Raw genomic sequence first — 14,982 nt, 5'->3', positions numbered from 1 at the left:
CCCACTTGGACAGCAACTCTCCCATGGCCCTAGGGACTGGCCCCATCCCCTCAGCTCTGTAAAGCGGCTCTGCCCCCACAGCTCTGGGTGACAGCCTTGTTCCTGGGGTAATAAACAGTGACATCCTAGACTACTGAAACCAAGGAGGTGGCCCCACTCTCTGAAACCAAAGAGAATGCAGCCTTGCCTCCTGGGCCTGTAGCAGGAGTGGCAGCCCTGATGATCTCTGAATTGCTTTCAGGGTCATTCTTCTCTTTTTCTTTTTTTATTATACTTCAAGTTCTGGAGTACATGTGCAGAACATGCAGGTTTGTTACATAGGTATGCACGTGCCATGGTGGTTTGCTGCACCCATCAACCCGTCATCTACATTAGATATTTCTCCTAATGCTCTCCCTCCCCTAGCCCTCCACCCCCCGACTGGCCCCAGTGTGTGATGTTCCCCTCCCTGTGTCCATGTGTTCTCATTGCTCGACTCCTACTTATGAGTGAGAACATGCGGTGTTTGTGAAGAATGATGCATGTTTGAAGCCAGACAACTCTATCGTCCTATCCTGTAGAATCCCAGAAGTTAAACAGCCTTCCTTCATTCTATCCAATTTTCTCTGTTCCCTTTAGTTCCAGCTGGCAGTGTTTCTGCTGATGTAATCCCGTCTCTGATCCTGGCTTCACTTGACATGGCGGATTAAATCATGAGGAATCTTTTTATTGTCTGATTGTCCAGCTACACCTTTGGTGTTCTTTCTAAAACATCATTTCTCATTTTAAAAAATACAAAGTAGGCTGAAAATTTCTCAAATCTTCAAGTTCTTGTTCCTTTTTGCTAAATAATTCCTTCCATTTACCTCTCTTCTCTTGCATTTTGCATTTTCTATAAGCAGTGATGACAAAACAAGCCACATCTTCAGCATTTTGCTTAGAAATCTCCCCAGCTAAATACCCAAGGTTTTCCCCCACAATTTCTACCTTCTACAAAAGACTAGAACACAATTCAGCCAAGTTCTTTGCCACTTTTTAACAAGGATCTCCTTTCCTCCAGTCTCCAATAACATTTCTCATTTCTATCTGTGACCTCACTAGAAACACTTTTTTTTTTTTTTTTTTTGAGACGGAGTCTTGCTCTGTCACCCAGGCTAATGTGCAGTGGCCCAATCTCGGCTCACTGCAACCTCTGCCTCCTGGGTTCAAGCAATTCTCCTGCCTCAGTCTCCCGAGTAGCTGGGACTACAGGTGCCTGCCACCACGTCCAGCTAATTTTTGTATTTTTAGTAGAGACAGGGTTTCACCATGTTACCCAGGTTGGTCTTGAACTCCTGACCTCAGGTAATCTGCCCACGTCAGCCTCCCAAAGTGCTAGGATTACAGGTGTGAGCCACCGTGCCCGGCCCAGGAACACCTTTAATGTTCATATTTCTACCAGTTCTATTCTGTTCATAATGATATGTATATTCCCTAAGACGATAAAAGCTTTCTCTATAAGTCTTTTCTTTCTGATCCTTCATTAGAATTACCTTTAGCATCCATATTTCTACCAACAGTCCCTTCAAGGCAATCTAGGCTTCTTCTTAGCATGTACTTCACCAGTCTTCTAGCCTCTACCCTTCACTCAGTTCCAAATCCACTTCAACATTTTTAGGTATTTGTTACAGCAGCACCCCACTTCACAATACCAAAATCGGATTACTCTGCTCAAGCTACCCAAACAAAATGCCACAGACAAGGTGGCTTAACCAACAAAAATGTATTTTCTCACAGTTCTGGAGGCTGGAAGTCCAAGATCAAGGTGCCAACAGGGCTGATTTCTGGTGAGGCCTCTCCTCTTGGCTTGCAGACAGCTGCCTTCTTGTTGTATCCTTTCATGACCTTCAGTTTGTATGCATGAACCCCTAGTATATTTCCTCTTCTTATAAGTACATCAGTCCTATTAGATTAATTAAAGCCCTACCCTTGTGACAGCATATAACCTTAATTACCTCCATAAGGCCCTTGACCTCATGTAACCTTAATTACCTCCATAAGGCCCTATCTCCAAATATAGTCACATTAGGGGTTAGGGATTCAACATATGAATTTTGAGGGGCCACAGTTCAGTCCATAACAGAGTTCTTAGATACAAAACCAAAAACAAGATCCATAAAAAGAAAATTTGATAAACTGAATGTCATCAAAATTGAAAATGTTTGTGTTTGAGAAAACACCACTGAGAAAAATGAAAAAGCAAGCCAGAAATTGGGAGAAAATAATTCCAAATAGAGAAGTTGTGTCCAGAATATATAATGAATTCATAGAACTCAAAAATAAATAAACAACTAAATTTTAAAACAGGAGAATAATTTGAGTAGACATTCCACAGAAAAGGCATATAAATGGCTATTAGGCTCATGAAAAATACTCAGCATAATTATTCATTAAAGAAATGCAAATTGAAGCCACAATTACATACCACTACACTCCCACTACAATAGCTTTAATCTGAAAGACAGAAAACATCAAATGTTCACAAGTATGTGAAAAAACTGGAACACTCAAAAATTGCTGATGTGACATGTAAATTGGTACAGTCACTATGGAAAACAGTGTAGCAGTTTCTAAAAATGTTAAACACAAACTTATCATGTGCCCAGCAATTTCACTCCTAAGAATCTACCCAAGGGAAAATATATGTCCATACATGAATGTTCATAAAAGAATTATTCATAATACTCAATATCAGAAAACAATCCAAAGTCCATCAACTGGAGAATGAGAATGGATAAGCAAAATGTGGTATATCCACATATAAGATATAAAAATTAATAACCTGATAAATGCTACAAAATGGATAATCCTAAGTGAAAAAAGTCTAATACAAAAGCTTACATATTGCATGCTGCCATTTATATAAAATGCCCCTAAAGAGGCAAATACATAGAGATAGACAACAGATCAGCGGTTGCCAAGGGCTGGAGAAGAACTACAAATGTGCATAAGGGATCTTTTTAGGATTGATAGCAACATTCTACAACTGGACTGTGGTAATGTTTGCACAATTCTATTTATGTACTGCTGTAATAATTGTTGAGTTGTACCCTTAAAATGGGTGAACTCTATGGTGTTGTAAATTGCACCTCAACAAAACTGCTAAAAATAGAATGTTACCAAAAGATTGGTCACTTATAAGCAAAGCTTGCTTAATTATATTTCTTTTTTTTAAATCTCCTAAGACACCTGGCATATAGGTATGCACATGGCAAGTCTAGAGAAATAGTTGCTAAATAAATCAATGAACAAAATAAAGTATTTCCCTTTCTAATAAAAATAGTAGAATGAAATGTTTCTTCTCGTCTGAGAATTGCTAGGTGTAGGGGTGGAGATTGAGAAACAGGCTTTAGTTAAAAGAAATTGTCTTAGACATTTTGGAGAAAATTATTCTCTTTGTGCTGATGTCCTAGATATCACTCAGATAAAACACTTAATTCTACATTCTCTTCTATATGTAAACTTTTAAAAATAATTTACCATAAGAAAATGACAAACATTAAAAAAATACAGAACATTCTAATTTACCTATTTGCTTTTACCATCAAAGCTTTTAATTCCTATCAGTAGAAATACAAGAGACATTATATTCATATTAAAATGGGCTTGACATATTTCATAGCTATATAATAAAAATATGAAATTTCATATAAACATTTAGATTGTGAAAAAATATCTCTTACATATTCTATTTCTGAACTGTCATTTGTATTTGTTTGGATTTTCTCTGGAATTACGATCTGTAGAAGTGAATTTTGAAAACCTGAAGAGATAAAAAAAAAAAAAAGTTAGTAACCTTGCCTTAATTTGATTAAATATCTGTTCAGTTTCTTTCATAAAGTTTACTTGTGCAGGTATGGGTGGCTCATCACTGTGTACTTCTATAAAAAGCTTGAAAACACTTAATTTGAAAAACAGACAAGATACTTATGAAAGAACAAAAAAGGAGAAGGGAAGAGGTATGCAGCTCGCACAAAATGTGTGGTTCTGAAGAAAATAGAAAATACACACCAAAAAAATCAAAGACATACTTCAAAAACTTTTTCCTGAAATAAAAGATTCAAAACAATAGACTAGAAAGTATACTGTATTTCAGGAATAACTAATCATTACTTTAAACTAAAACATATTCTACTGAAATTGTTGGGTTTCCAAGATAAAGAATTCCTTGAAAATATGATAGAAAGAAAAAAAAAGAAAATCATGTTATGTATAAGGGGAGATAAGCAGGCTGGCTTGAGAATTTTTACCACAGTATTTAATGTTAAAAGACTAAAGAACAATGTCTAAAAAAGAACTTTAAGAAAAGACAGTGAAGACCCTATAAATGTATACCCAGCAAAAAGGCCATTAAATATAAAGTCAGAAGATAGATATTTACAAGCAAAACTCAAAAAAAAAAAGTTCACATGTGTCTACCACAAAAGTCAGAGACATTTCTCCCAATAAAAATATCAGCAGAGTTGTGGTAAAATGCCTAACAGTGAGAAAAAAAAATCTTAAATATAGACTAAAGGCTAAAACAACTGTGGGAATCACAGTTACATAACAGATGCAAATGTTAAAAGCTCTGGTTACATAAACATAATATATACAACTTCAGGAACTGTAGCAGAAGAAGAGGAAGATCACATAAGCATACTGATTTCCTTAAATCTGCTTAACAGGGCCGGGCATGGTGGCTCATGCCTGTAATCCCAGCACTTTGGGAGGCCAAGGCAGGTGGATCACAAGGTCAGGAGTTCCAGATCAGCCTGGCCAACATAGTGAAACCCCGTCTCTACTGAAAATACAAACATTGGCCGGGCATGGTGGCATGTGCATGTAGTCCCAGCTACTCCGGAGGCTGAGGCAGGAGAATCGCTTGAACCCAGGAGGCAGAGATTACAGTGAGCCAAGATCACACCACTGCACTACAGCCTGGGCAACAGAGAAAGACTCTGTCTCAAAAAAAAAAAGTAACCATAATCATTAAATGCCACAACTAACATCATACTGAATGGGGAAAAGTTGAAAGCCTTTTCTCTAAGAACTGGAACAAGACAAGGATGCCCACTCTCACCACTCCCATTCAACATAGCGCTAGAAGTCCTAGCCAGAGCAATCAGGCAAGAGAAAGAAATAAAAGGCATCCGAATAGGAAGAGAGGAAGTCAAACTCTCTCTCTTCACAGACGATATGATTCTACACCTAGAAAACCCTATAGTTTCTGCCCAAAGGCTCCTAGATCTGATAAGCAACTTCAGTAAAGTTTCAGGATACAAAATCAATGTACAAAAATCACTAGCATTTCTATACACCAGCAACAGCCAAGCCAAGAGCCAAAATAAGAACAGGATCCCATCCAGAATAGCCACAAAAAGAACAAAATACCTAGGAATACAGCTAACCATGGAGGTGAAAGATCTCTACAAGGAGAACTACAAAACACTGCTCAAAGAAATCAGAGATGACATAAACAAATGAAAAAACATTCCATACTCATGGATAGGAAGAATCAACGTTGTTAAAAGGCCCATACTGCTCAAAGCAATTTACAGATTCAGTGCTACTTCTATCAAACCACCAATGTCAGTTTTTCACAGAATTAGAAAAAACTATTCTAAAATTCATATGGAACCATAAAAGAGCCCAAAGAGCCAAAGCAATCCTAAGCAAAAAGAAGAAAGCAAGAGGTCTCACACTACCTGTCTTCAAACTATACTACAAGGCTACAGTAACCAAAACAGCATGGTACTGGTACAAAAACAAACACATAGACCAATGGAACAGGTTAGAAAACTCAGAAATAAAGCCACACACCTATAACCATCTGATCTTTGACAGTTAACAATAACAAGCAATGGAGAAAGGACTCTCTATCCAATAAATGGTGCCGGGATAACTGGCTACTCATATGCAGAAGACTGCAACTGAACCTTTTGCCATATTCAATAACCAATGCAAGATGGATTAAAGACCTAAATGTACAACTTAAAACTATAAATGCCTTAGAAGAAAACCCAGGACATGCCATTCTAGACATCTTTGTCTTGGCAAAGGTTTCATGATGAAGACTCCAAAAGCAATTTCAACAAAAACAAAAATTGAGAAGTGGGACTTCATTAAACTAAAGAGCTTCTGCACAGCAAAAGAAATTACCAACCAAGTAAATAGGCAACCTGCAGAATGCAGAAAATATCAACAAACTATGCCAACAAAGGTCTAATATCTGGACTCAATAAGGAGCTTAAACAATTCAACAAGCAAAAAAAAAAAAACCCATTAAAAAATGGGCCAATGACATGGACACTTCTCAAAATAAAACATACATGTGGCCAAGAAGCATATGAAAAACTTATCATTAGAAAAATGAAAGTCAAAACAACAGTGACATATCATGTCACACCAATCAGAATGACTTATTAAAAAGTCAAAAAATAATAGGTGTTGGCAAGGTTGCAGAGGAAAGAGAATGCTTATACACTGCTGGGGAGAATGTAAGTTAGTTCAACCACTGTGGAAAGCAGTGTGATTTCTCAAGGAACCTAAAAGAGAACTCCCATTTTACCCAGCAGTGTGATTTCTCAAGGAACCTAAAAGAGAACTCCCATTTTACCCAGAAGTCCCATTACTGAGTATATACCCAAGGGAATATAAATCATTCTACCATGAAGACACATGCACACGTATATTCATTGCAGCACTTTTCACAATAGCAAAGACATGGAATCAACCTAGACATCCATCAGTGGTGGACTGGATAAAGAAAATGTTGTGTATATACACCATGGAATACTATACAGCCATAAAAAAATGAAATCACGTCCTTTGCAGCCACATGGTTGCAGCTGGAGGCCACTATCCTAAACAAATTAACACAGGAACAGAAAACCAAATACCACATATTCTCACTTATGAGCGGAGGCTAAACATTGAGTACACATGGATGCAAAGAGGGGCACAATAGAACCAGAACTTACTTGAAGGTGGAGGATGGGAGGAGGGAGAGGACTGAAAAACTACTTCTCAGATACTGTGCTCACTACCTGAGTAATGAAATCATTTGTACATAGAACCCCAGTGACACGCAATTTACCCATGTAACAAACCTGCACATGTACCTCCAAACCTAAAATTAAAGTTGGAAGAAAAAATAAAATAAAACTTATGAAAAAAATTTTTAAACATGATTCCTTGCTTTGACTGGGAATCAGGGAATTCTGAAGTGGCAGACAATTGACTCTCAGAGACAGGTGAGCACAATTACCAGAAGAAGCCACAAGGACAGAGTGAAAAACAAAATGCTTTCACCTACAGAGATCCTTGGTAGTATCTAACTGATCACAGAGTCCCTAGGAATGAACTAGATGAGCAGTCTAGTCAAGAAAATTCTAGCTTGTGGTGCGCAGAAACTGATGCAATCACCACGAGGACTCACAGCCTCTTCCCTGGTTCCTACACCTGACCCAGTTCAGAGGCTTGCAGCCTTTTCATTAAGGAGTGAGGGAGTCCTCTTTAGGAAGGACCTTGCCATGCAACCACAGGAATGTGCTGCGAATCTTCCCCTGCAGACTCCTCCATAGTGTCCTGTGTCCTTTTACCATGATGACTATGCCCAGGGGAGGGGAAATAGCCAGACTTTCAGGGAGTATTATTTACTGACTCTGAACTGACACTAATCCTGAGGACTCAAAATACCAGCATGGTCCATTGATCAGAATAGGGACTTATATAGATCAAGGGATAAATTGTGACCTGGATCCATCAATGGTGAACGAAGTTATAGATTTTGTGAAATGAACTAGCTCGTTGAAATTAAAGTCTCATTAGTTAGTTCATGTGAAATTATAGTTGATTAGTGAAAAAAATATAGATTCCAATGTGTTGATTTGTTGAAAAAAATCAACACGTCTCCTAATACCTAATATGCAGTTATTGACCTGGAAAATGTTATTTTCAATTCCAATCAGCAATGGTGACAAATGCCTTCATCTGACAAGAACAATAATACTATTTTCACCACCTTCCCTTCAAGCTGTCAACTGTCCTGTCGTAGCTCAGAGGGACACTGACCGTTTTGATTTCCCATTAGAACATCATGCTGGTCAAGTTGCATGATGTGAAAGACATCATGCTTATATATTTAGTGAGCAAGAAGTAGCAAGTGCCCTAGATGTTTCAGTAAGATACATGCATGCCAGAATGTGGTAGAAGAACCTATGGAGGTTAAGGGATAGTTACAACCCCAAAGTTTCTTGGGGTCCAGTGGTTGCAGCATGCTGAGATATCCTGTACAAAGTGAGATGCTAGTGGCTACACCTTGCATAGTCCACCACAAAAAAAAAGAGTCACAACGAGTGGCAGGCCGTTTTGAGTTTTTGAATTCAGAGATAATACATACTGTTTTGGGGTGTGAGAGCCTGAATCATTCATCGGGTGACTGGTAAAACTGTCAAAATTGACTTGGACCCAGCGCAAGAGAAGAATCTGCAGCAAGTTCAAGATATAGATGGCACTGCCCTGCTTCAGTGTTATGACACAGGACACCCTGCAGTACCCACTGCACTGACACTCATAATGTTACTCATGTGGCTGCAGTCATCTGGCAGCTCGCCTAGGCCTGGAGAGACTAAGACGACCCCATTCATGTCTTTTGACTGAACGGCCTAGGTTGAGTCATCTCTGTTTCACACATCCTCTTATCGTCCTAGTCTAGGATTCTTCATGTAGCAGTCAAGACAGTGCTTCAAGAGAGCAGAGAGGAAGCTGCAAAGCCTCTTGAGGCATAGACTTGGAAGTCTCACAACTCATTTCTACCACATTCAAATGGCCAGAGCAAGTAATGAGGCCAACCAGATTCAGAGAGTGAAGAAATACATTCTACCTCTCAATGGGAGGAATGACAAAGAAATGTTGCAAAATGGAAGCACACACAGGGATGGAGGAAGTGTTAAGGCCATTGTCATCTTTGCAAACAATCAATTCAACACATGTGATATGGCTTTCTACTGTTACTAGTCTGTGCGTTTCATCGTTAATTATTGATGCCCACATCTCTATAGATAGTCCCATAGCTAAACTCTCTTTATTTAAACCCTTTCAGTGTATCCTCAGTCTCATGACAGGTCTCTAAGTGAGACCTACCTGTGTACTTTGGGGGCAAGGGGGTGGTGATAGTTTAACATCTACTAAATGTGGCATTTCAAATGAATGGGGGAATGATGTAATATCAGTATTTATCCATTTGGAAAAATACAAATATAGTTTCCTATCTAGCACCACAGTGTGGATTACAAGACTTCATGTACAAAGTTACAAAACTATTAGAAAGACTGAAAGGCTACGTTGTCTAAAGTTGTAAAATAACTTTAAGAAAGTATGGGAAACTATTTGTTTTAATCATTGTACCAAGGGAAGCCTTAATACGGAAAACAAAATGCAGAAGCCATAAGAAAGTGTTGATAAACTTAGTACAAAAATCAGGATATCACAAGTGAAAAGATCAATAACACATTGAAGAAAACTTGTGCAAGATATAGAAAAAATAAAATGATTAATATCCAAAATATATTAAAAATAGATGACATACATAAATTTATACAATATGCTTTTGTCATTTATAATTTACTTCAAAAGGACCGTATATGTCTACATTTACACATATTTATATCTAAGTGTCTAGAGAAAAGTCCAGAAGAGTACCATCAAACTGTTAAACATAGTCGTTTTCTTTAAAAATATAGTAAAATTGACAATCAGGAAAGATGGTAACATATAGGGTAGCCTCTTTTACTTCATTTTGAATGTAATCACATATTACTAAATAAAAATTATTAACAAGTTTATAATTATTTTTAAAGTTCCAGGATTTTGATCCAGAAATATATATGTTTATAAATATCCAGAGATTATTCTGATGTAAAGCCAAATTTGGCCTCAACTATCCCACCTTAGGAAAAGACTGATACATAAATGCGTATGTCACTTCAAAAATCTAGCAGGTATCATAGCTTTTACATCAAATTTAGGCAAAGCCTCAGAATCATTTTCAACAAAACATGGTAGGTAGTCACTGCCACTCCATCGGATGTCAGCTTTTCCCAACTTGTTCTTTTTTTTTTTCCTTTTTTTTTTTTTTTTTTTTTTGAGAAAGAGTCTTGCTCTGTTGCCCAGGCTGGAGTGCAGAGGTGCGATATTGGCTCACTGCAACCTCCACCTCGCAGGTTCAAGCAATTCTGCCTCAGCTGGGATTACAGGCATGTGCCACCACAATCAGCTAATTTTTGTATTTTTTTTAGTAGAGATGGGGTTTCACCATGGCCAGGCTGGTCCTGAACTCCTGGCCTCAAGTGATCCACCCACCTTGGCCTCCCAAAGTGCTGGGATTACAAGCATAAGCCACCATTCCCAGCCTCTTCCCAATTTGTTCTATGTCAAGACTATCCTAATCAAAATCTAAGCAAGCTATTTTGTGGATATCAACCAACATATTCTACTGTTTACATGAGGAGGTAAAAGACCCAGAATAGCCAACTCATTATTGGGGGATAACAAAGTCCAGAAGAGGAAATGGACATACCTATACCACTGAGCCTAACAGTTTCTTTGTAAGTACATATCCAAGAGAAATGAAAACATATGTCCACACAAAAACTGGTACATGAAGGTTCCTAGCAGCATTACTCCTAACAGCCAAAAGTTGGAAACAATCAAATGTCCATCAACTGATGAATCAGTAAACAAACGGGTGAATATATACAATGAAATATTATTCAGTCACAAAAAGGAATGAAGTTCTAATGCATTCTACAACAGAGACGAACCTTGAAAACATTATGCAAGTGAATTAAGCCAGACAAAAAAGGTCATATTTTGTATGATTCCATTTATACGAAATACCCAGAATAGATAAATCCAAAGGGACAGTGGCTGCCAGATAAATCCAAAGCAGATCAGTGGCTGCCAGGGGCTGGAAGCAGGAGGACATGAGGAGTGACTGCTTAATGTGAAAATGCCATCCCCAAATTGCTGAGCAAGATCCCTCAGCTGATGGGACCATCAGCAGTTTGGAGCTGGCATTTTCATTTGAAAGTTTAAATTCTCTCTTCTGAGTTATAATAAAAAAGACAGCCAGGATTTCTTGCACTTGTAGTTATGCATATAATTTATAATATGACAGCATTAATAAAAGAAGTTCTCATTCATTGCTGGGGTGAATGCAAATGGTACAGCCACTTTGGAAGACAGCTTGGCAGTTTCTTTAAAAACTAAATATACTCTTATCATATGATTCAGCAATAGCATTTCTTGGTATTTACCCAAATGAGTTGAAAACTTATGTCCACACAAAAACCTGCACATAGATGTTTATAGCAGCTTTATTCATAACTGCCAAAGCTTAGAAGCAACCAAGATGTCATTTGGTAGGTAAATGGATAAATAAACTGTGGTAGATCCAGACAATTGAATATTATTCAGCACTAAAAATAAAAAAGCGGCCGGGTGCAGCGGCTCATGCCTGTAATCCTAGCACTTTGGGAGGCCAAGGTGGGTGGATCACTTGAAGTCAGGAGTTCGAAACCAGCCTGGTCAACACAGTGAAACCCCATCTCTACTAAAAATACAAAAAAATTAGCTGGGCATGGTAGCAGGCACCTGTAATCCCAGCTATTTGGGAGGCTGAGGCAGGAAAATTGCTTGAACCGGGAGGCGGAGTTTGCAGTGAGCCAAGATCCTGCCACTGCACTCCAGCCTGGGCGACAGAGTAAGACACCATCTCAAAAAAACAATTAAGTAAGTAAATAAGCTATCAAGCCATGAAAAGGCATGGGAGAACCTTAAATGCATATTATTAAGTAAAAAAAAAGTCCATCCAAAATGGCTACATATGATTTCAAATACATGACACTCTGGAAAAGGCAAAACTAAGAAGACTAAGGAGATGAGTTGTTGCCAGGGGCAGTGGGGAGGGAGGGATAAATAAGCAGAACACATGGGATTTGTAGGGCAGTGAAACTATTCTGTATAATACTACAATGGTGGATGCATGTCATTGTACATTTGTCAAAACCATAGAATGGGCAATGTGGAGAATGAACCCTAATGCAAACAAACTGTGGACTTTGGATGATAACAATGTGTCAGTGTAGGCTCAATTGTAACAAATGGATCCCATGGTGCCAGATGTTGATAGTGGGAGAAGCTGTTCATATTTGGGATCAGGGGCTATATGGGAACTCTTTCAGCTCAATTTTGCTATGAACCTAAACGTACTCTAAAAAATAATGTTCATTAATATTTTTTTTTTATTTTATTTTTTGAGATGGAGTTTTGCTCTTGTCACCCAGGCTGGAGTGCGATGGTGCCATCTCAGCTCACTGCAACTCCTGCCTCCTGGGTTCAACCGATTCTCCTGCCTCAGCTTCCCGAGTAGCTGGGATTACAGGCACGCACCACCACGCCCAGCTAATTTTTTTGTATTTTAGTAGCAATGGGGTTTCACCATGTTGGCCAGGCTGATTTCAAACTCCTGACCTCACTCAGGTGATCCACCTGCCTCAGCCTCCCAAAGTGCTGGGATTACAGGCGTGAGCCACCACGCCTGGCCGTTACTTTTATTTTTAATGAATGAAATACACATTCTTACATTTCTATTTTAATTTCTAATATGTTAAACATCGATATAAATCCACATAAACAAAAGCTCTTTGAGAATCTCAAAAATTGTTCATGTATAAGGCAGTTCTGAACCCAAAAACTTTGACAACCACTGCATTAAAATTTTGTATGTGTTATGAACTGAATGTATCCCACAAAATTCTATGTTGAATCCCTAACCCCCAATGTGACAGTATTTGGTTATGGCCTTTGGGAGGTAATCAGGGTTTTAGGCATAGAGTGGGACCCTCATGATGAGATTCATGCCCTTATAAGATGAGACATCAGAGAATTTCCTCCTCCTGTCTTTCCCTGTACACAAAGAAAAGGTCCTGTGAGTACGCAGGGAGAAGGTAGCTGTTTACAAGCCAGGAAGAGAACACTCACCCTAATCTAACCAGGCTGACACCCTGGCCTTGACCACACCTCTGCTATGCTGCAGAGGTAATTATGGCAGGATAGGAAGAAGAGTAGGAAGAGTTCTCAAAAATTTACAGTATCACCAGGGAGGCTTACATGCAAGTAAAATGTTTGGATATGCCCGTATTTTTTTCCTTCTCTTATTACATACTATTCTGAATCTTGTCAGCCAGAGTCAGTACATGGCATGTCTTACTTCCTCCCTCTCCACAGTGGTCCATTTGCATTGTTTGGAGATAACCACAGTTTATTTAGCAGTTCTCTTACTAATGAACTTTTACAGTTTTTCAATCATTTTGCTGTTAAGTACTATATTAGTCAGCTCCCACTGCCATAACAAAATAGTGTAGACTGCATGGCTTAAACAACAGAAATTTATTTTCCTCATAGTTCTGGAGAACTACGATCTGGAGTCTCCCTCTGTTGCCTACTGTTGCCCACTGCACTCCAGCCTGGGCGACAGAAGGGACTCGGTCACACACAAAAATAATTTTTTTAATTTATAAAAAAGACAGGATCTCTGTCGCCCAGGCTGGAGTCCAGTGGGGGCGATCTTGGCTCACTGCAGCCTCCACCTCCTGGACTCACGTGGTCCTCCTCCCTCAGCCTCCCGGGTAGCTGGGATCACAGGTGCGCACCACCACCTCGGAACATTTTTTTAAATTTTTTTGTAGAGATGGGGTCTTGCTGTGTTGCCCAAGCTGGTCTCCAACTCCGAGGTCAAACAATCAGCTCGCCTCAGTCTCTCAAAGCCCTGGGATTACAGGCGTGAGCCCTGGTGCTGGGCCCTGAGTCGCTTCTCCATCCGGACGGGGCGCCTAATCCCCTGGAAAAGGCCCCGTTGCCAGGGTGACAGGACCAAAGGGACCCAGACAGGGAGGGCCCCGGGCTTTGCAGGGAGTCGGGCCGCAGTGTGACGAGCGCCCGGACTAGTGTCAGGGTCTGGGCTGGCTCACCGGGTCTTGACGCCAGGAGGCCGCAGAGCCCGGCCAGCAGCAACCAGAGGCGGAACATGGTGCGGCTTCGGGGCTGCCAGCGGGAAGCCGTTGGGAAGTCGGGAATTGCCAGGGACGCGGGGACGCGCGGACGCCGGGGGCCGCTCCCCGCACGTTCATGGGACAGCGTTCTCCGGAGGCCCCGGAGACGGGGTGCTCTCGGTGTTTAGCGTCCGGAACACGAAGGGCCCGCAGCGTGCGCCCCGAGGCTAAAACATCCAGCTCCCTTCCCGGCGCACCCCAGCCGCGTGGTTGCTGGAGCCACTGACCACCCAGCGCCCTCTGTCGAGATCGCGCTCGTAGTCCTCCACTAACTTTTCGCTTTGTGTTGCTGGACCTTAAGAACTGACACACTTATTCACAGTCAGCGTGTGCTCTCCTGCACCAGACACTTCCCAGTTGCTTTTTTTTCTTTTTGGGACGGGGGTGCTCACTATTCTGCCCAGGCTGGTCTCGAACTCCTGGGTTCAAGTGATCCTCCCTCCTCAACTTCCTGAGTAGCTGGGATTACAGGCATCTGCCACCGTTCGGGGCTTCCTAGGTCCTTTCAAAAGCGAATGTGTAATACTTTCTGAATTAAAATCTATATACACACCTAAATATATATTCATATTTGCCAAACCTGTTTCTAATATTTTTTCAAAACTATTTAGCCAGATGTGTGAACATTCCAAAGAAGGGAAAAGTGAGCCGCTTTTCAATATGAAATGCCAGCTCTTCATATTTTTGAAGAGCGCCAGCTGCATTTTTTTCCCCACTGACGCTGCCCAAATGGACTTCACAACCAGGCTTTTTCCTCCAATCTGGTTCTCCGCAGGCCATTGGCTAAAACTCATGTGATGTCATTCTATTGTTCAGAAACTTCTCAGTGCAATAAATACTTATTTCATGTAGTGAAAGATTTAGAGAT

The 14,982-nt window shown here is 40.1% G+C and overlaps 1 protein-coding gene across 10 annotated transcripts in view; it reads right to left on the bottom strand.

Moving 5' to 3' along the window:
- The window catches only part of ADAM32 (ADAM metallopeptidase domain 32), a 177,389-nt gene extending 163,051 nt beyond the window's left edge, over positions 1–14,338 (bottom strand). For 9 of the 10 annotated variants that reach the window (NM_145004.7, XM_011544433.3, XM_006716298.4 and 6 more), the window contains exons 1-2: positions 14,034–14,133; positions 3,702–3,781 (exon numbers count right to left, since the gene is read on the bottom strand). In NM_145004.7, the coding sequence (NP_659441.4) occupies positions 3,702–3,781; positions 14,034–14,091 (138 nt within the window). In that variant the 5' untranslated portion in view covers positions 14,092–14,133. 10 annotated transcript variants of the gene reach the window in all.

Source organism: Homo sapiens, chromosome 8, assembly GCF_000001405.40.
Source record: "Homo sapiens chromosome 8, GRCh38.p14 Primary Assembly".
NCBI classification, from domain to species: Eukaryota; Metazoa; Chordata; class Mammalia; order Primates; family Hominidae; genus Homo; species Homo sapiens.
This window is presented reverse-complemented; position numbering and strand designations above follow the sequence as displayed.